The 22,688-nt window shown below is 45.6% G+C and overlaps 2 pseudogenes, besides 1 other annotated feature; one reads left to right on the top strand and one right to left on the bottom strand.

Annotated features, from left to right (window-relative positions):
* Positions 5,815-6,354: an enhancer, noted in NCBI's record as "NANOG-H3K27ac hESC enhancer chr10:21692015-21692554 (GRCh37/hg19 assembly coordinates)". NCBI's record gives its function as "activates a minimal SCP1, AML or CMV promoter by ChIP-STARR-seq in primed H9 embryonic stem cells {active_cell/tissue: H9 hESC(primed)}" and the evidence as "EXISTENCE:reporter gene assay evidence [ECO:0000049][PMID:30033119]".
* Positions 14,849-15,427, bottom strand: MRM3P1 (MRM3 pseudogene 1; annotated as a pseudogene).
* Positions 14,912-15,424, top strand: LOC100420467 (glyoxalase domain containing 4 pseudogene; annotated as a pseudogene).

Genomic DNA, 22,688 nt, shown 5'->3' with positions numbered 1-22,688 from the left:
TGGGATTGCAGGCATGCACCACCATGCCTGGCTAATTTTTTTGTATTTTTAATAGAGACGGGTTTTCTCTCTGTTGGTCAGGCTGGTCTTGAACTCCTGATCTCAGGTGATCCACCTGCCTCGGCCTTCCAAAGTGCTGGGATTACAGGGGTGAGCCACCGTGCCCGGCCTAACATTTTTATTTGTATATATATCCTCCTTATCTCCTCTTGGGTTAGTTTTGGGAAAGGGACTATTATTTTTTTTCTAAAGCTAAACTATAAACTAAATTCCTCATATAATTAGATGGTATGCATGCAAAGTTAAGCAGAAGCTTTTGAACCTAAAGGATATTACCATGGTGGAGGGGGTGGTCAGAGACAAAATGGAGTCAGTCATGCTAAGACTCCATCCACTGTTACAGAAGGATGATTGGGGCTGGGTACAGTGGCTCACGCCTGTAATCCCAGCATTCTGGGAGGCCAAGGCTCGCAGATCGCCTGAGGTCAGGAGTTTGAGACCAGCCTGGCCAACATGGTGAAACCCTGTCTCTACTAAACAAAAATTAGCCGGGTGTGGTGGCAGGTGCCTGTAATCCTAGCTACTCGGGAGACTGAGGCAGGAGAATTGCGTGAACCTGGGAGGCGGAGGTTGCAGTGAGCCAAGATCGCGCCACTGCTCTTCAGCCTGGGTGACAGAGCTAGACTCTGTCTCAAAAAAAAAAAAAAAAAAAAAAAGAAGTATGATTGGAGCAAGAGATCTAATGGTAATAGACTGGGGGAAAATTAGTAAGGCTTGTTTGTTCAGATTCTTCTTTGTTTCTCTGTCTTCATTCCTTTCATGTGAATATAGGAAGGACCCTTCTGGAATGACTATTTTGGGAAGTTCAGAGAATTCTTTCACGACCTGCTTCAGGAGAGAAGGTTAGAAGGTCAGAGAGATCTTCTTGCTTCTGCTGTTTTCTCAAATGCCAAAGTATCATATTTTGGGATAGCATGTCCTGAACCCCATTACTTTCATAGTACTTAGTTGGGATAGACCCCTGTAACAAAAGACAGATTAACAAGAGAAAAACAAACAGAAGCTTATTACCATGTATACCTCATGTATACACAGATGATATCCAGAGAAATGAGTACAATCTCAAAGAGGTGGCTTTGAATTCAGGATTAAATACCATTATCTGCAGAAACAGTGCAGGGAAAGGCTTATGGGGATGTGATCAGAAAAATTATGGTAAATAAGAGAAAAGCTTGTTATGCAGATTTAGGTTGATGCCTCCTCCAGTTAATGTAGAATGTCTGGGCTTCTGACTGAACTCCATCCTCAAACCTGGAACCTCAATTCGACCCTAAGTGAAAACAGCTGACCCTGATACAGAAGGGCTGGGCTCCTGGCTAAATTCCACCCTCAAGCCTGGAAACTCGGCCCCATTTTTCACCCAAATGATTGCCTTTTTGGCCTATCCTGCCCCCTATCCTGTGCCCATAAAAACCAGAGCAGCTGGCAGAAAAAAAAAAAAAAAAAAAAGAAAAGACAAAACAGGCAGCTGACCAGCAAGGATATAAGCTGCTGAGCCTCAGGGATGCAAGCTGCTGAATGGTGAGTAGAGAAGCAACTGAGTGTTGGAGACGATGGTTAAATGCGGCTAACTTCAGACAGTGCAGTTTCAGAGGGGAGCCTGGCCAGAGACAGCTGGACTGCAGGGAAAGATCACCTTCTTCCCGCACTGTCTCCTTTCCAGCTCCCCTTCCACTGAGAGCCACTTTCACTATTCAGTAAAGTCCTCCACGTTCATCATCTTTCAAACAGTTCATGTGACCTGATTCTTCCTGGACACTGAACAAGAACTCAGGTGTCAAAAAGGGCAGGTGCGGGAGGCTCTCACCCTCACCATTCACTGAGCTGTTAACACTTAGCTGTCCATGGACTGCAGGCTTGGTGAAACGAGCCACTCTAGTTCCTGCCCACAAAGGGGGTCAAGGTCAAGGGAATAATCCCATCTCACAGTGATAAGAGTCTCTTGTGATTAAGAGTCATCCTTCTCTTTCTTGTACAGGAAGATATCCTTAAAAATGGAGATTCCCTTTACAGATGTAAATTTCCCTTACAAAAGGGTAACTTCTACTGTTTTCAGAACATCTCTTGGGTTTGTAGTTTCTCAAACTCATCCTTATGCCAAAGAGGCATTTTTTTTGGGTGGCATATTTTAGTCGTCTACAGTCATTGTGGGGTGCATACTTTTGGTCCCCTACAACTTATAGAATTTTTCCTGTGGAGTTTAAGCCTCACAGGAGGCAGGGCCTCACTGCTCCCCAGCCTTCTTTCTTTCCCTGAGTTTTCTGGTGGAGAGATGGGCTACACGTGGGGATCTTACTCTGGCTGTTTCACAGTTTATTATTCAGTATTTTGGTAGCCACACACCCTCCGTCTCTGAGACAGGAAGTAGACTCAGAGGGAGGTGTGACGTGTCTTATCACTTTTTTCGGTCTGGCTCTGGTTAGATTTTTCTTAACTTAATTCCACTGGCAATAACAACGGGTGGAAATTTCTAACAGGTTTTGGCATGAGATTCTCTCTCAGTCTGACTTTTCAGTAGGAGAAAGGAAGCTGATGAGGAATCCAGTTCTCCTTTGAACAGTGACTTAGCAATGTCTTCCCTCTACACGAAATCTACCTTGCTCTCTATGGGTTTCAGTAGTCTGTACAATCTGACCTAATCCCGAAATTCACACCCTCCACTGCCAGGAGGCTGGCCTCCTTTGCTCTTTTTTTTCATGCCACTTGCTTCCTGGCAGGTTCCCTTTCTCTGTTTAGCTATATTCTTTCATGTGTAAACCAAAAATAAAATACTAAGTCCTCCAAGTGACTAAATGGACTCCCCTCTTGGCCAAGGGGATTCCAAAGAAACATAAAAAACTAGCTCAGGCCATGACGGGAAGGGAAGTTGGACATGCCTCATTATACCTTCTCCCTTTTGGAGTTGAAACATAATTGACCACATTAACATTAAAATAAAGATCATAAGACTGACAAAACAGACTCTTTGTAGCAATAAGGTAACAAATTCCAACTTGACTCTGGTATAGCATCACAAGACAGATAACAACAAGCCTTAGAAGAAATCAAAGTATTTTATTCCAAAGTGAGACAGGCTAGTTCCCTTGACCTAGACCCCCTTCAGGGGTGGGAACTGGAGTGACTCCTTTCACTCAGCCTGCTCCTGGCCACTGCTTGTGAGAGGGAGCATGTGAGCAAGCAAATGCGGGAACTGGAGGGAACGAAGCTAGAACCGGCTGGTCACTCCTGTCTGGCGGGAGCAGGCTCTGTGCAACTCCCTACGGCATCCAAGCCCCTGCACTCTCAGCGCCTGGGTTCTTGTCTGCTGTCCGGGAAAAATCAGGTCACTGGAATGGATCGAAGGGTGGTGTATGTGGAGGGTTTTAATGGGCAATGGATGTGGCTCTCAGTGGAATGGGGAGTTGGAAAGGGGATGGTGTGGGGAGAAGGTGATCTTTCCCTGAAGCCACACTGTTTGAAGTTAGCTGTGTCTATCCGTAGTCTCCAATGCTCAGCAACTTGCGTCCCCACTGGTCAGCCATATGTGTTGCTCTGCCAGCTGAAGTCTTTTTATGGGCACAGGATAGGGGCATGGCAGGCCAAAAAAAGCAACATTTGGGTGGAAAAACCGGGCCAGCTGTTTTCACTTAGGGCCATGGTTTCAAGATTAAGGATGGGTTTAGCCCGGAGCCCAGCCATTGGGTATCACAAGTATGTTTCTTTTCTTCTTCTTCTTCTTTTTTTTTTTTTTTGAGACAAAGTTTCACTTTGTTACCCAGGCTGGAGTGCAGTGGCATGATCTTGTCTCACTGCAACTTTTGTCCCTTGGGTTTAAGCGATTTTCCTACCTCAGCCTCCTGAGTAGCTGGGATTACAGGTGCACACCACCATGCCCAGGTAATTTTTGTGTTTTTAGTGGAAACAGGCTTTCACCATGTTGGCTGGGCTGGTCTTGAACTCCTGACCTCAAGTGATCCACCTGCCTCAGCCTCCCAAAGTGCTGGGATTACAGGCGTGAGCCACCTCGCCTGGCTCAAAAGTATATTTCTTTGACATATTTTGGAATGGCTCTGCAAAGCCATCTCTTGTGGGGGTAAATTCACATTCTGTAGAGAATCTCCTTTCCTTACTAGGTCTTTTCCTGATTGAAGGGAGATTTAACTGAGACTCTGACACCTTTTAAGATCCAAAAGCAGACATTTACCATCTATTCTCTCTGAAGCCTGCTACTTAGAGGTTTCGTGTACGTAACAAGAACCTTGGCTTCCACAACCTCTCTTATCTTAACTTAAGCATTTCTTTCTGACTTCAACTCTTTTTTTTCTGAGATGGAGTCTCACCCTGTCACCCAGGCTGGAGTGCAATGGCACAGTCTTGGCTCACTGCAACCTCCGCCTCCTGGGTTCAAGCGATTCTCCTGCCTCAGCCTCCTGAGTAGCTTGGATTGCAGGCGTGCACCACCATGCCCGGCTAATTTTTTGTATCTTTAGTAGAGATGGGGTTTCACCATGTTGGCCAGGCTGGTCTCAAACTCCTGACCTTGTGATCTCCCAAAGTACTGGGATTACAGGCGTGAGCCACCGCACCTGGCCTTCTGACTTCAACTCTTTAGGCAACACTTAACTCTTTCAACCAATGGCCAGTCAGAAAGTCTTTGAATCCAACCATGACCTGTAAGCATTTCCCCTTCAAATGACCTGCCTTCCTGGGCCAAACCAATGTGTACTTTCCATGTATTGATTTACGTTTTTGCCTGTAACTTCTGTCTCCCTAAAATATATAAAACCAAGCTATAACCCCACCACCTTGGGCACATGTTCTTAGAACCTCTTGGGACTGGGCCCCAGGTTATAATAATTCATATCTGGCTCAGAATAAACCTCTTTAAGTTACAGATTTTGACTATTTAAAATCAACACATGTAATGCCAGATCCAGTTCCATCTCCTTCATGGAGCCTTTTTATAATCCCAATCTATGCTGAGGCCCTCTGCTCTCATCCATTCATTCATTCACTGATGTGAGGGCCAAGGTCTGTGGCACTCCCTAAAGGTTCGCTGAAAAAAAATCACTGACCTGGGGGAGATTGAGTAATGGGAGAAAAGGCGTACAAATTTATTTAATGTGTATACACGGGAGCGTTCAGAATGAAGACTCAACCCAATAGTGAGGTACAAAAGTTTATATACCATCTTAGGGCTACAGAAAGAAAGGGGGTTTGGATCCTGGAGGTAGAAATAAATTATTAAGGCAGATAGTGAGGGCAACAGAGTCCTCAGCAGAGTGTCCCTTACAACAAAAAGCAGCCCCCAAAATCATTTCTAACAAAGAGCAGCCTAAGAAATTGAGCTGCAAACATGAACAAGGAAGCTGCAAGCTTGCACAGGGGAATGCCAGCAACTGTGCCAATAGAAAAGGGCTACCTGGGGGCCAGGCATGTCCAGCACGGAGGTTCCATCTTCCCTTTTTTTGGTTACCACATGTACAGTAAATGAATGGGCAACATGGTGCAGCTCAGGCAGAGGACCTGCCTGCATAATAAAAGATTAGGGCGGGGCTACCAGAAATTCGTGCCCTATGCAAATGGCACACCCAGTCTAACCAGTTTTTTGCACCCTATGTAAATCAGACGTCACCTCCTCACCAGCTCATCAATACACCCCCCTGCATTTCACTGCAGATCCAGCATTTTCTGGGAACCCCCCTCTGTAGCAAAGAGCTATTCTCTTTCTTTCGCTTACTATGCTTTCAATCTCAACCTTACTCTTTGTGTGTCTGCGTCCTTGTTCTCTGTGGCCATGGGACAAGGAACTTGGGGTGTTACTCCAGACAACCAGGCTGTTTCAGGGATAAAACAGATTATGGAAGAGGGTAGAAGTGGAATTCTTTGAGGGGATTACTAGGGAGAATAAATGGATCTGGGAACAGAGATTAACTTGTAAATACTTCTCTTTGACAGTGATAGGGTGGTTCAGGTGTGGTTACATTCTTGGTCTTACAGGGAGCGGAAGAAAAAACAATTGTTCTTCTTGATGGGCCTGGATCTTAGGCAGATAAAGGAACTTTTAACTCTTTGGAAGAGATGGTCGTGGTGGTTGGGGGAGGCCAGAGAGAACTTGAGACTTCTTTTTCAGTATGTCAATGTGATGTATTTTGGGGTATTTGGTTTCTGAGTACCAACACTGAACAAATTTGCTAGATGCTTATGCTATGTCAATCACCATGCTTAGTGAGAACCTCAGAGTAAATAAGGCAGGCTGGTCCTTGCCTTCATGGGACTGAGAGTGTTGAAGGAGTCCTAGACATGACACATATGAAAGTCACATCATAATAGATTCTTTAGTCCTCCTTGTAATCCTTGTTTATTAATTAGGGTAGTCTTTTTTGCAACCCATAAAATCCAGTTCTGGGATATGGGCCAAAACACATATTTCCTGGGAAGGCCCCGCGGCTCCTCACAGAACTGAAGGGAGAACCAGAACCCTGGCTTCCAGTTGGCGGCAAGAGAGAACCTCCAGGGATTTCAGCTGCAGAAACATTTAGACTTTCTCTTCAGGGCACCAAGTCTGCTTCAATAACTGCTACTTTCTGTATCCATGCCAAGTTTCAAGTCCCAGGAGAAAACTGGAATGTTTAAGCTTGAGTCAGGTGATTGCCTCTAGAAATGAGGCACCTCTCTGGATGCAGGCAGGGAGAGGTGGGTGTGGGGGCTGGGGCCATGGAGGGCCTTTCCCAGAGTGGGGAGATTGTGGTGTGGAGCCATTCTCCTGCAGATGCTGTGCCGTGCTGCCCAGATTTCTCCTTCAAGGATGGAGAACTTATATCCCCAGCTGCTGGGTGTGCTGTTGGCCGGGTGGGAGCCATCAGTGTTCAGCGGTGGCCTGGGAATGGCCTCTGCCCAAGGAGTCACTTTTGTCCCATGTCACGCTCCTGCTTGGGCATTCAATGAGTGGCAGGAATGTGTGGAGCTGTCTATAGGCCCAGCGTGGGACAGTTTTAAAGGGACATCCCAGCTTCAGAGCTTGCCACAGCAGGCCGCTCAGCTCCATCTGGCCGGTCCTGAGTCCTTCATTTTCCCAACAGGCGTTGGCCCTGAGAGCCCTCCCTGGTAAATTCCTGTGCTCCGATCTCCTCCCCAGAGTCGGCTTCCTGAGGAACCCAACCTGCAACACACCCCAGTGGAATCTGCAACACTTGTGATGCTCACATTTACACTCTTTTTTTTTTTTTTTTTTTTTAGAGACAGTATCTTGTTCTGTCACCCAGGCTAGAGTGCAGTGTTGCCATCATAACTCACTGCATGCAGCCTCGAACTCCTGGGCTCAAGTGATCCACTTGTCTCAGCCTTCCAAAGTGCTGGGATTACAGACAGGAGCCACCACGCCTGGTTCGCAGTTCTACATTTTATTATATATTATATGGCATCGTTTGTTAATTATTTCACATATTCCTTATGCTTCCTGTTATGGTCTGAATGTTTCTGTCTCCTCGAAACTCATATATTGAAATACTAACCCCCAAGGTGATAGTATTAGGATATTAGGAGGTGGTGCCTTTGGGAGGTGATTAGGTCATGGGAGTGGGGCCCTCATGAATGGTATGAGTGCCCTTATAAAAGAGACCCTGGAGAGCTTGCTGGCCCCTTCCCCTATGTGAGGACACAGTGAGAAGGCTCTGTCTATGAGCCAGGAAGAGGGCTCTCGCCAGACACTGAATCTGCCAGCACCTCAGTCTGGGACTCCCCCACCTCCAGAACCATGAGAAATAAATCTCTGGGCCAGTCGCAGTGGCTCACACCTGTAGTCCCAGCACTTCGGGAGGTGGGGGTAGGAGGATCACTTGACCCCAGGAATTTGAGGCCCACTTGGGCCACATAGCGAGAACTTTCTCTACAAAAAAGTAAAAAATTAGCCAAGTGTAGTGGTGCATATCTATAGTCCCAGCAACCCAGTAGGCTGAGGTGGGAGGATTACATGAGCCCAGGAGTTCAAGGCTGCAGTGAGCTGTGACTCAACCACTCTATTCCACTCTGGGCAACAGAGTGAAACCCCATCTCAAAATAAAAAAAGGAGAAGAAGAAGAAGAAATAGGCCAGGCTCAGTGACTCACACCTGCAATCCCAGCACTTTGGGAGGCCAAAGTGGAAGGATTACTTGAGCCTAGAAGTTTGAGATCAGCCTGGGCAATATGATAAGACCCCCATCACAACAAAAATTAAGAAGTTAGCTGAGTGTGGTAGCACGTGACTGTGATCCCAGCTACTTGGGAGGATGAGGAGGGTCATTGGCACCTGGGAGTTTGAGGCTGCAGTGAGCTGTGATTATGCCACTGCCCCCTAACCTGGGTGACAGAGTGAGACTCTTTGTCTCTAAATAAATAAATAACTAGGCCAGGTGCCGTGGCTCACTCCTGTAATTCCAGCACTTTGGGAGGCCGAGGTGGAAGAATCACTTGAGGTCAGGAGTTCAAGACCAGCCTGGCCAACATGGTGAAACCCCTGTCTCTACTAAAAATACAAAAATTAGCCAGGTATTGTGGCAGATGCCTGTAATCCCATCTAATCAGGAGGCTGAGGCAGGAGAATCGCTTGAACCCGGGAGGTGGAGGTTGTAGTGAGCCGAGATTGCGCCACTGCACTCCAGCCTGGGTGACAGAGTGAGACTGTCTCAAAAATAAAAATAAAAGTAAAAATAAAAATAAGTGGATAAATAAGTAAATACATGTCTGTTGTTTATAAATTATCCTGTCTATGGTATTTTGTTGTGGCAGCCTGAATGGGCTAAGGCACCTTCCAAGCTAGACTGCAGACTTTCTACATATAGAAACCTCAACTTCTCTGACATCTAGCCCTCAACCCTAGTTGTAGCAAGAGGCACATAGGTGTCACTCAGAATTATGTGTTTACTGATGGACTGTCTCCCCTTGAAGGACAAAGCTATGCTGAGTCTAACACAACAGAATGTTGCTGTTTTAGATGGATCAGAGATTTAATATAAGATCTCTCTCTCTTTTTTTTTTTTTTTTTTTTTTAGATGTAGTCTTGCTCTGTTGTCAGGCTGGAGTGCAGTGGCACGATCTCTGCTCACTGCAACCTCCGACTCCCTGGTTCAAGCTATTCTCCTGTCTCAGCCTCCTGAGTAGCTGGGATTACAGGAACGCACCACCACACCCAGCTAATTTTTGTATTTTCAGTACAGACGGGGTTACACCATGTTGGCCAGGATGGTCTCGATCTCCTGACCTCGTGATCCGCCTGCCTCAGCCTCCCAAAGTGCTGGGATTACAGGCATGAGCCACTGCACCCAGCCAAGACCTCTTTTAAAGGGGTTTCTAGTCAATAGATTTCTTTTTTCATTTGTTCTTTGGCTGGCTCATTGCTTTTAGAGACCAGAAACTACTGATTAAGGAGAGTAGACCTCTCTGCTATAACCTCTTTTTTCCATCTGCAGAACAGGTTTTCCTTGACTTCCATCTCTGGGGATGCAACCACAGAACCTTACAAAACATGTTTAAGTGCACGGTTTTAAGAGACGTTTGCATTCTTTATGAGTGCATGCATGTGTGGGGTTGGGGAGCTTTGCATGCCAGACTGTGACATCATATGTCTCCATGCCTATATTTGGAAGCCGGCTGGGTCCACAATAGCTGTGTGCTGAGAAGAATGGAAAGCTGATGATGGGCTCACAGGCTTTGATCTGTTAAATAAATATTTTTTCAAGAAGAGGAGCTTTAGGAATAAACCATTTCAGCCAGCACCTTTGTGATCATCCCAATTCTAAAACAGATGGAGATTCCTTGTACCTAGAGAAAGTTGAGTTTTAAACATTGAATAAAAATATGATTTTCTAGTTCTTGGCTCAGTCTCTTAATCACTTTTACCTCCACCGCATACAGAGCTGATGCTTGCAAAGGGAAGTTGTTACCCCCTACCCATTGGTTTCTGTCTGATTCTGATCAGGTAGTAATATTTCATAGAGCCGCCGCATGACACCAGCACATTTTCCCCACCCTGGACACATGTTTCCTTTCATTTTGGAAAAATTGTACTGTGAGCATAGCAAAGAGAATAACTTCTATGTCTTTCCTCTTATAAAGAATGTGCTTTTATAACATGTTTTTTAATTGATAAAGAGGTAAGGGTAATAAATGAGCATTTGATCCAAGTTTCAGCAAAGGACTCTTTATTGGAGTACAGACTCTAAAAGTTATTTTAGGCAAGTACCCAGAGGCAATTTTTAGAGCCACGAGGCTGAATTAGAAGATGATGATTCTGAATGAATTCTGCCACTCCTTAGACATAAATTACGTCTCCTTCCAAGTGGAGTGGCTAGTGGGCTAAGAGGACATATTTTAAAATAGTTGAATCCAAACATAAGCTGGATTTGCATTTTTTAAAGCCTATAGTTTGCTTTTCACATTTTCTCTCTTCCCCAGGGACTCTGGCATTGTATGGTCTATGCTGCTTTCTTACAAAGGTACCTTAGGTTCATTTTATGAGGTGTGGAATAGAGGACTAGCCTGGTGCTTGGACTGGCTGAACTTTCCATCCTGCTTTAAACAACCTGCTAAAAGTCAGTGTGATTTACAACAGTAGTTACAACTACCCTTTTACTTAGCCAGGGATATTCTCATGCTATCAAAAAATAGAGGCACATTTGGAACCACTGTCATTCCTATCCCTTGATTAATCATCTTGGTGATTCATTCATTAAACAAGTTTATGCAGCTAAGGGGCCTTCTTTGGTGAGGTAGGATGAAAGAGATCACTTGTCCTAGTTACATCCAGTACAATCTTTATTTTTTTATTTTTCTATTTTTTTAAATTTTATTTTCCATAAGTTATTGGGTTTTTTTTTTTTTTTTTTAGATGAAGTTTCGCTCTTGTTGTCCAGGCTGGAGTGCAATGGCATGATCTCAGCTCATGGTAACCTCCACGTCCCAGGTTCAAGCAATTCTCCTGCTTTGTCCTCCTGAGTAGCTGAGATTACAGACGCCCACCACCACGCAAGACTAATTTTTTGTATTTTTGGTAGAGATGGGGTTTCACCATGTTGGCCAGGCTGGTCTCAAACTCCTGGCCTCAAGCAATCCACCTGCCTCGGCTGCCCAAAGTGCTGGGATTACAGGCGTTAGCCATCACACCTGGCCACATCCAGTATAATTTTAAAGAGAGGGAGGGTCTACTGAACAGATACAAGGGGTGAAACCGCTTGATTATTTTCTCTTCTTCTTTTTTTTTTTTGAGACAGAGTCTTGCTCTGTTGCCCAGGCTGGAGTGCAATGGTGCGATCTCGGCTCACTGCAACCTCTGCCTCCCAGGTTCAAGCAATTCTCCTGCTTCAGCCTCCCTAGTAGCTGGGATTACAGGTGCCTGCCACCATGCCTGGCTAATTTTTGTATTTTTTAGTAGAGATTGGGTTTCATCATGTTGGTCAGGCTGGTCTCAAACTCCTGTCCTCAGGTGATCTGCCCGCTTCGGCCTCCCAAACTGCTGGGATTACAGGCGTGAGCCACCGTGCCTGGCCTGCTTGATTATTTTCATGAATTATTTCCATGTGTCCCAAGACCGTGTGGCAGGTGCTGGTGTCTGTAACATTCACTGGGGTCCTTTTCATGCCCGTGTTTTATGTTGTGTGAATCCATGCAGTTGAAATGAAAATTGCACACATACAAATACACACCCTATACCCCTCTACTCTCCAAAAAGACTCCTCAAATCTTTCTGAAAAATTAGGATGCCAGGTATGTATTTGTAAAAGGCCACCTGAGATGATCATCAGTACTGTTATTGAAGCTAGATGGGGTCTGCTTGCCTGACACGATAAGACCAGATATCCACACCGACGTTTGCAGTGGGAAGAAAGAAGGTGTTTATCTGCAGGTTACCAAGCAAGGAGGATCAGGCAGCTTATGCTTAAATCCTGACCTTGCAGGTAAGGGTTTTTTAAGGCAGGGGTGGCTGGGCTCAGTGGCTCACGCCTGTAATCCCAACACTTTGGGAGGCTGAGGCAGGTGGATCACTTGAGGCCAGGAGTTTGAGACCAGCCTGGGCAACATGGCAAAACCCCGTCTGTACTAAAAATACAAAAATTAGCTTGGTGTGGTGGTGCATGCCTCTAATCCCAGCTACACGGGTGGCTGAGGCAGGAGAATAGCTTGAACCTAGGAGGCAGAGGCTGCAGTGAGTTGAGATGGTCCACTGCACTCCAGCCTGGGCAACAGAGGGAGACTCCATCTCAAAAAAAAACAAACAAAAAAAGATGTTATCTTTAGTTTCCATAGGGAAGCAGACATCCCATGATTCTAGCTTCCTTGGCTGTTGCTTTAAGTTACTATTCCCTTCTTCTTGCTTATCAAGTTGTTTATTTATTTCTCAGGGCTGGCTAGGCACCTGGAATTTCCCTTGAAGGAATTCAAGATTTTCTTTCTTTCCATGCTTGTGGAGGCCTGCAGGCCACTAACAGGAGTCTCTGTTCTATCTTAGTACTAATATCTTTTAAATTGCATGGTGCCTTTTTCTTATAGGAGCTCAAAAAGCTTCCTTCATATCTACTATGTGCTTGGAAACATAAAAACTCCTATTTTGTGTAGAGGTGAAAGCCACGTGCATATAAGCTTTTGAGACAGTGACACATATAAAAACGATGTGCACCCTTGGGATAACTTCCTGCTATAGATAGAAGATACGCTGCCTGGCCAGGAGCGGTGGCTCACACCTGTAATCCCAACGCTTTGGGAGGCCAAGGCCGGCGGATCATGAGGTCAGGAGTCCGAGACCAGCCTGGCCAACATGGTGAAACCCCGTCTCTACTAAAAATACAAAAATTAGCCCGGCATGGTGGTGGGTGCCTGTCATCCCAGCTGCTCGGGAGGCTGAGGCAGGAGAATCGCTTGAACCCAGGAGGCAGAGGTTGCAGTGAGCCGAAATTGTGCCATTGCACTCCAGCCTGGGCGACAAGAGCAAGACTCCATCTCAAAAAAAAAAAAAAAAAAGTATGCTGCCCATTATATGTAATTTTTTGCCAAAGCTGAGATTTCCTGCCTTTCTCAGACACCAAGACAGCTTGTTGAAATGCAAATAAGCAAGATGAGAGTAAAGTTACAGTTAGTTAGTAAAGTTAGGCTCTTCTCTCATTTATTTTTCTATTTTTACTTTTTTTTTTTTTTTTTTTTTTTTTTGAGAGGGAGTCTCGCTCTGTCACCCAGGCTGGAGTGCAGTGGCACGATCTTGGCTCACTGCAACCTCCGCCTCCCGGGTTCACGCCATTCTCCTGCCTCAGCCTCCTGAGTGGCTGGGACTACAGGTGCACGCCGCCATGCCTGGCTAATTTTTTGTATTTTTAGTAGAGATAGTAGAGACGGGGTTTCACCATTTTAGCCAGGATGGTCTCGATCTCCTGACCTGGTGATCCGCCCGTCTGGGCCTCCCAAAGTGCTGGGATTACAGGCATAAGCCACTGCGCCCAGCCTCATTTATTTTTTAAATAGGGAAATATTTAGAAAAAGTGCTAGAGACCTGGCCGGGCATGGTGGCTCACGCCTGTAATCCTAGCACTTTGGGAGGGCGAGGCGGGCAGATCACGAGGTCAGGAGATCGAGACCATCCTGGCTAACACGGTGAATCTCCGTCTCTACTAAAAATACAAAAAAATTCCCCTAGGGTGGTGGTGGGCGCCTGTAGTCCCAGCTGCTGGGGAGGCTGAGGCGGGAGAATGGCGTGAACCCGGGAGGCGGAGGTTGCAGTGAGCCGAGGTCGCGCCACTGCACTCCAGCCTGGGCGACAGAACGAGACTCCGTTTCAAAAAAAAAAAAAAAAAAAAAGAAAAAGTGTTAGAGACCAACTCCTTGAGTGTCAGAGCCTTCTAGTTGAGAACTTTTATAGTTGCCCAACAGGTTCCTTGCCTGTTTCCCAGATAGAGCCAATGTATTAAGACAGGGGAATTGCAATAGAGAAAGAGTTTAATTCACACAGAGCTGGTTAAGTGGAAGACTGGAGTTTTATTACTCAAATCAGTCTCCCTGAAAATTTGGAGACTGTGGTTTTTAAGGATAATTTGGCAGGGAGGGGACCAGGGAGTGGGGAGTGCTAATTGGTTGGTTTGGAGATAAAAATCATAGGGGTTTGAAGTGGGTTCTTCTTGCTGCCTTGTGTTCCTAGGTGGCATTGGAGAACTGGTTGAGCCAGATTACTGGTCTGGGTAGTGCCAGTTGGTGCATGAGAATGCAGGGCCTAGAAAACACCTTAAGCACCAATCTTAGGTTTTGCAATAGTGATGTTATCCCTAGGAGCAATTGGGGAGGTTCGGAATCTTGTGGCTGGACGACTCTTTTTTTTTTTTTTTTTTTTTTTTTTTTTTTTTTTAGAAGACAAGGTTCTTTGTTTATTGGGCTAAACAGGGCAATAAATTGTGGCTTGTACCTCACTTCTTAGATCTGCTTCTAGAATAAGGAGTTTATTGACAGTTATCACCACATGGGCAGAGGTTTTGCAAAAATGAAGGGCTAAATCTTTTAGTAAACATTTTCTTAATTTTTAATCTGACATAAAAAGTTGAAGAAGTAATCTAAAAAATATAAGGTTCGAGGAATAGTGGTTCTTCCTAGAGACTATAAGGAGCCATAATCCAAATGATAGTGAAAAACGGGTTTCAATTTCCATTTAAAATGCTGTAAGATACACAGCTTTGATAATTATATTTTTCTAATTGTAACATTTTGAATTTCATTTCAATGAAATCTGCTGTCCTAAGACAAGTATGAGCAATTAATCCTAGGTCTCCACACCTTAAGACACACCATGTAATCACTGACCCATTATTCCTTGTGGTGTTACTAGGTCGGACCAATCCTTGATCTCCCCAAATTTCACCTTAATGAGGCTGACACTTTTCAGCTTATCGACTGGCAGCCCCTTTAGGTATTCTAGACGGCTAAAGAAGAAATGTTTGGCACAGCTCCAGCCTTGAGAGCTTCTGCAATGAGCCTGCGACCTTCCAGCAGTATCTACCCTTGTTTTTCCTGAAATGGCCTGGACTTTACTATTGTCATTACACCGCTCAGCCTCCTGTCCCCGGGAAAAACGTTATTGTAGCGAAGTCCAGACTCTTCCCAGGTGCTGGGAGTGTGGGATGGGGACACCTCAAGCGGCTGTGTCTCTCGTAGCTCATGGGCACTGGCCTCAGATGCTGCCTTGCCGGGCTGCTTCCCGGGAGCGCGCTTCCGTTCCCCCACCTCTCCGGAAGGAAACGCCACTTTCACTGGGCTCCGCCGCAGCGCCCAGACCCTGGGCCTTGTGTCAAGGTTCCAAGTCTGGACCACCTGCAGCAACGGTGGCACAACAAACTGCGCGGGTTTCACCAGCGTCACCATCTTCCCTGAGACCCGGCTGCTTGGCTCTTAAACTAAACCATAATTTATAATCTTGTGGCTAATTTTTTAGTCTCACAAAAGGAGTCTGGTCCCCAGGCAAGAAGCGGATTTGTTTCAGGAAAGGTCAGTTATCGCCTTAGTTTCAAAGTTAAACTCTAAACTAAATTCCTCCCAAAGTTAGTTTGGCCTACGACCAGAAATGAACAGGGATAGCTTGGGGTTGGTCAAGTCAGGTCTCTTTCACTGTCATAATTTTCTTTTCTTTTTTTTAATTTTTTTGAGACAGAGTCTCGCTCTGTCACCCAGGCTGGAGTGCAGTGGCGCGATCTCGGCTCACTGCAAGCTCCGCCTCCCGGGTTCACGCCATTCTCCTGCCTCAGCCTCCCGAGTAGCTGGGACTACAGGCACCCGCCACCATGCCCGGCTAATTTTTCGTATTTTTAATAGAGACGGGGTTTCACCGTGTTAGCCAGGATGGTCTCGATCTCCTGACCTGGTGATCTGCCCGTCTCAGCCTCCCAAAATGCTAGGATTACAGGCGTGAGCCACCACATCCGGCCATAATTTTCTCACTGTTATAATTTTTACTTTGCTCTGTTTCACTTGGCTCTGTTAACAGAAAAACCAGACTCTTAAATATTTTAAAGAGGTTTATTGTGAACCAATAGGAGTGACTGTGGCCTGGGGAAGACACAACCCAAGAAGCCTTGAGTATGTGGTCCTGGGACAACTGAATTACAGTTTGGTTTACACATTTCAGAGATGTAGGAGTTACAGGCAAAGCCATACATCAATACATGAAAGGCATACATTGGTTGAGCCCCAAAAGACAGGATATCTTGAAGGAGGGGTCTTAGAGGTTATAGGCGAATTCAGAGATTCTTCTTCTTCTTCTTCTTTTTTTTTTTTTTTTTGAGATAGGGTCTCACTCTGTCACCCAGGCTGGAGTGCAGTGGCGCCATCACGGCTCACTGTAACCTCCGCCTCCCTTGCTCAAGCAATCCTCCTGCCTGAGCCTCCTCAGAAGCTGGGATTACAGTCACGTGCCACCATAGCTGTCTGATTTTTTGTATTTTTTTGTAGAGATGGTGTTTTGCCATGTTGTCCAGGCTGGTCTCAAACTCCTGACCTCAAGCGATCCAACCCCCTCAGCCTCCCAAAGTGCAAGGATTACAGGCATGAGCCACTGTGCCTGGCCCAGAGATTATTTAATTTGCAATTAGTTAAAGGAATAAGGCTCTGCCTAAAACTTGGAGCTGGCAGAAAGAAATGCTTAAGATGAGGGTGCTGTGTCAGAATCAGCCACAATATCCTGGGTCAAAAATGACCTGTTTAGGGCCAGGCACGGTGGCTCATGCCTGTAATCCCAGCACTTTAGGTGGCCAAGGAAGGTGAATTGTTTGAGCTCAGGAGTTGAGACCAGCCTGGGCAACATGACAAAACCCCACCTCTGCAAAGAAATGCAAAAACTAGCCAGGTGTTGTGGTGTACACTTGTAGTCACAGCACTTGGGAGGCTGAGGTGGAAGAATTGATTGGGCCTGGGAGGTGGAGACTGCAGTGAGCTGAGATTGCGCCACTGCACTCCAGCCTGGATGATGGAGTGAGACTCGGTCTCAAAAAAATAAAAAATGACCTGTTTAGCAAGATTGATGGACTGCAGATGAGACTTCACCCTTGCCTTTCATTGCCTTAAGTTCTGTTTATAATTTGGTATCTTATTGGCCACAAAGAGTCTATTCTGTTAGTCTTAAGATCTCTATTTTAACATTAATGCTGGGTAGTTGTTGCATCTAAGCTCCAAAAAGGAAGGAGTATAATAAAGCATGTTAGATCTCTCACCCAGTCATGGCCAGTAACCCAGCTTCTAAGGCTTCTATGGAGTCTCCTTGACTAAGAAGGGGTCCATTTACAGCTTCAACTAGACCAGTATGACTGGGGCAATCAATTTTTGTGGTATGGAATTTTTATCATGTAACAAGGACTCACATACTATTAAGGGCTGGCCTGTTCTTTGTTTCCAAAGATCAAAACAGTTCCTAGTCCTAGCAAAAACTAGTTTTTTTTTTTTTTTTTTTTTTTAGACAGAGTATCACTCTATTGTCCAGGCTGGAGTGTAGTGGAGTGATCTCGGCTCACTGCAACCTCGATCTCCCGGGCTTAAGTGATTCTCCCACCTCAGCCTCTCGAGTAGCTGGGACCACAGGTGCCTGCCACCATGCTCGGCTAATTTTTGTATTTTTTTGTACAGACAGGGTTTTGCCATATTGCCCGGGCTGGTCTTGAACTCTTGAGCTCAAGTGATCCACCCACCTCAGCCTCCCAAAGTACTGGGATTACAGGTGTGAACCACTGTGCCTGGCCCACAAAAACTAGTTATTGATTTAATGATAATGTGTCTGTTGTTCATCCTTCACCTGTAGCAAAATTTCAGAGAAGGGAGCTGAGACCTTATTTAAGGATGGCATGCAAATTTTTGAAGTATTCCATGTTTTTTAGCCAGACTAGATATGTAACATGCTATAGATAGATTCTATACCCTCCTCCCACCATGCCCATTAGAAAAAACGTTTCAGCCTACTAGACTGCTCTTCCTGCTCTGCCTGCTGAAACCCTAAGATGCATCTCACCTGCCTGTGCTCTGATTCAGGCTTCTGTGATCACTTCACCCACGGATTGACCTCTTCTCTGAAACTTTGTTGCATTTTAATCATAGTTTTGTGGCATTTCATTTAGCATGTCCTCTTCTGTACTATTGCTATTTGTGTTTGTGTTCTAATAGATTATATCTGAAGAGGATCAGCATATGCCACATCAAAATATGCCTTTTTTATTTTTCTTTTAAGACGGAGTCTCACCCTGTTGCCCAAGGTGGAGTGCAGTGGCGTGATCTTGGCTCACTGCAACCTCTGTCTCCAGGGTTCAAGCACTTCTCCTGCCTCAGCCTCCTGAGTAGCTGGGATTACAGGCATGTGCCACCACGCCCAGTTAATTTTTGTATTTTTAGGAGAGATGGGTTTTCACCAGGCTGGTCTCAAATTCCTGACTTCAAGTGATCTGCCCACCTTGGCCTCCCAAAGTGCTGGGATTATAGGCGTGAGCCACCGTGCCTGGCCCAAAAGTTATTTTGAGCTGAAGGCATTTGAATTCCTGAAATCCTTTATTTGCCAAAAATCAGAGCCTCCCCAAAGAACCCAACTGTCATAAATCCCCTCCCCAGGAGCAACACTGATTTTTCCTTCTCAGAGAAGAGAGAAGTCAGCATCACACCCCAATAGACATCCTCACAAGGCTATCATATCGCCTATCTATTCCCCTATGAATCTATCAGTCTTTCAAAAAAAAGTCCTTTGTGTTTCCCTAGGTGCTTTTTCTCCCCATCTTCTAAGAAGTAAGTTGTTCTCCCAGAAGTGCCTCACTGCTCCCCCACATTTCCCATTCAGATGGCATATAAGCCCCCAATTCTGCTTCCTTCAGTCACATTTTTCTGTGAACTCCCAGGTATGTATGTATGTGAATAAAAATCTGTCTTTTCTCTTGTTGATCTGTCTTTTGTCAGGTTAATTTGCAGGCCCCTAGGTACTGAACCTAAGAGAGTGAAGAAAAAATGTTTTCTCCTTGACATAACTTCCCTGTTGGAGAAAGAGGAGGTAGTATATCTAGTATGTATGTTTGGACGGACAGACAGACCTGAGTGTTTTAAAATTCTTGCATTACCTGTCTCTACCAAAAAAAAAAAAAAAAGAAAAAAAAAGAAAAATATAGCCAGTCATGGTGGCACACACCTGTAGTCCTAGCTACTTGGAGGGCTGAGGCAGGAGGATCCCTCAAGCCCAGGAATTTGATGGTGCATGAGCCATATTGTGCTACTGCACTCCAGCCTGGGTGGCAGAGCAAGACCCTGTCTTTAAAAAAACAAAAAATAATAAATAAATAAATACATTCTTGCATTGCCAGTTTTCTTGGACAAATTACTCAGCCTGTCTGAATCTCCTTCACTTCCTCTATAAAATGGGGATAGTAACTTTACTTCTCAGGGTTGTCGCGGGAGTTAAATCAGATAGTGTATATAGGCCGGGCGTGGTGGCTCACACCTGTAATCCCAGAACTTTGGGAGGCTGAGTCGAGCGGATCACTTGAGGTCAGGAGTTCGAGACTAGCCTGGCCAACATGGTGAAACCCCGTCTTTACTAAAAATACAAAAATTAGCTGGGTACGGTGACAGGCGCCAGTAATCCCAGCTACTTGGGAGGCTGAGGTGGGAGAATCGCTTGAACCCGGGAGGCAGACAGAAGTTGCAGTGAGCCAAGATCGTACCACTGCACTCCAGCTTGGGCAACAGAGCGAGACTCTGTCTCAAAAACAAAAAGTTTTGGTTTTATCTCCTCTACTAGATCCCAAGTTTCTTGAATTTAGGGACTTTTCTATATGTGTGTATTTCCTACAGGGTATAAAGTAACTGATTAATAAATATTTGCTCAGTGAATGAATGATTCTTTTGCTATATTTTGCCCTGCATGTACTAAACTCATTAGCTAATTTATTTTGTGTTGGAGAAACCTGGCTTAGTTTTTATTTTTATTTTTATTTTTTTTGAGACAGGGTCTCACTTTGTCACCCAGGCTGGAGTGCAGTGGTGCTATCATGACTCACTGCAGTCTCGACCTTCCCAGGCTCAGGTGATCCTCCCACCACAGCCTCCTGAGTAGCTGGTACGACAGCACCCGCCACCATGACTGGCTAATTTTTGTATTTTTAGTAGAGACGGGGTTTCACCATGTTGCCCAGGCTTGTCTCGAACTCCTGGGCTCAAGCGATACACCCACCTGGGCCTCCCAAAGTGCTGGGATTACAGGCACGAGCCACTGTGCCCGGCCCTGGCTTAGCTGCTTAATAACTGCTCCTGACAGCAAGGGAGGCATAGCTACCTTTACTGAGGTAAAAATCTGCCCTTAACAGGAAATCATTAGTAGAGGCAGCAATGGAATTCGGGAGCACAGGCCAACAGTTACATACATTTAATCTCACTTTTTATGAATGTGAATTGCTAAGGGCATTGGATAGGATGGCGGAAAAAGCTCAAACTGCAGACCATTCCAGGCAGCGGCATTAGTGGGGACATGTTGGGCTCAGATCAGGAATTAGTGACAGAAAAGATACAAAAGGTTATCTAGCCTCTCCCCCTTCGGGCGCAACCACGGGGCTTCTGGGGGTTTCGTGCTTTTTATGTTTCAGAATAGGAATGGGATGAGAAAGAAGAGAACTTATAGGGTGAATTTGCATGAGAATAGGGAACTGGAGAGAAGAGTAATGTCAGAGAAATTTATACGTCCTCTAAAGGCCACTGGGGTGTGTGAGAAGTATTAAGCAGAAACAGAGAGAAGAACAAAGAGGCGACCAAAATAATTGTCCATGTACTACATCCTTTTTTTTTCTGATCTAGAAAAATGACAGATTCCTCCTTAACAGTTGGCTGCCCGGGAAAACCTTTGATTTAATCCATCTCCCTTTTCTTCTAGAGTACTCGCTGAAAAGTATTTCTAAGTAATTGTTACACGCAACACACTCGTGTCGCTTATTAAGGGAGCACGCCATAGGGCAGGGGATAATCCTTACCTGGTCCATCCCCTCGGGGCACCAGAATCTGGACTCTCATTGTCAGTTAAGGTTTTCCTCTGAATATGGCTGTAACAATACCTGGAGGGGTTCATTAGCTTGCCACTTTACAGAGATAATAAAGGCATTAATTAAGAATGCCAAAACCCACACGTGCAAGGAGACCTAGATCCAATTTACTGTGCACTGAATGTAAGCACCATTTTCTATATAACAGCTACAAATACCTTCCAGGGTGGTTCTGCTATTAATTTATAATCCGTCTCTGCTGGGGACTTGGCGAAACCTTTAGCCGTGTGTGCCCGAGGGAAGGGTCTTCGCTGTGTGTGTATTCTCCTCTTTTGTTAGTCAGGGCCTGTGTTTTGTCCACTGACCTTTTCAGAATGTCCCAGGCTGCTCTTACCCTGCACCAGTTCGTACTGGAATGGTGGCTTCATCCTATCAGGACCCTTTCTTTTTCTACTACGAATTGAGCATCTCATACTGCAGGCGTTCTTAGTCTGGGGAAATACCCGAGGTTTGTCGTCTTGTGCTAAGGAAATTAAAGATGCAGACACACACAAGGAGTGGGTTTAAGAGCAGAAGTATAATAGTTGAAGGAAATAAGAGAGAGCGTCCTCGTGCAGAAGAAGGGGGCCCGAGAGGGTTTCTGGGTTTGGGGGTGAGATGCGGGTGGTTTTATAGAGGAGCTTGAGGAGGAGGTGTCTGATCTACGTAGAACGCAGTGGATTGGCTGGGCCAGTAGTTTCATTTACATAGGCGCGAGGTGGCTGGCCATCCCACCGTAATTTTATACTATGCAGATGGGGTCTTTACCTGGCCAGTGTGCCATGACACCTGCACACGTGGCAAAAAAAGGAAAGGGAAGAGGAAACCTGCATGTTGAGTATACCCCACTTTCAGGTATCCCTTTTCTATGGGCACAGCTGTCGGCATTTACCTATGCAAGCCTCCAGCTTGCTTATTTATGCTTGCAGCTTGAGTTTTTAGGCTGCTTTTTGTCAGAAAAGAAATAATTTGGGGGCTGCTTTTTTTTTTTGAGATGGAGTCTCGCCCCGTCGCCCCCAGGCTGGAGTGCAGTGGCACAATCTCAGCTTACTGCAACCTCTGCCTCTCTGGTTCAAGTGATTGTCCTGCCTCAGCCTCCCAAATAGTTGGGACTACAGGTGTGCACCACCACGCCTGGCTAATTTTTGTATTTTCGGTAGAGACGGGGTTTCGCCATGTTGGCCAGGCTGGTCTCAAATTTCTGACCTCAGGTGATCTGTCTGCCTCAGCCTCCCGAAGTGCTGGGATTACAGGCGTGAGCCACTGTGTCTGGCCTCTAAATGTTTCTTGTTAGACTTAAAGAGTTTGTTTGTCAGTCTTAGGGTCTGTGTTGATGTTAATGCTAGTCAGCTGGGCCTGAATTTCAAAAGGGAGGAGGCTATGATGAGGCATGTTGGACTCCCCCTTCCCATCATGGCCTGAACTAGTTTTTCAGGTTAATTTTGGAATGCCCTTGGCCAAGAGAATGGGTCCATTCAGATAGCTGGAGGAGGTTTAGAATTTTATTTTTGGTTTACGGGGGAACCCAGCAAGGCCTGTGTGTTCAGATTCTTCTTGGACTCTCTGTAGCATTCCTTCCTCCCGGGTACAGGGCAGGACCCCTCTGGAATGTGGGTCT

The sequence above is a fragment of the Homo sapiens genome, chromosome 10, assembly GCF_000001405.40.
Source record: "Homo sapiens chromosome 10, GRCh38.p14 Primary Assembly".
Classification (NCBI taxonomy): Eukaryota; Metazoa; Chordata; class Mammalia; order Primates; family Hominidae; genus Homo; species Homo sapiens.
This window is presented reverse-complemented; position numbering and strand designations above follow the sequence as displayed.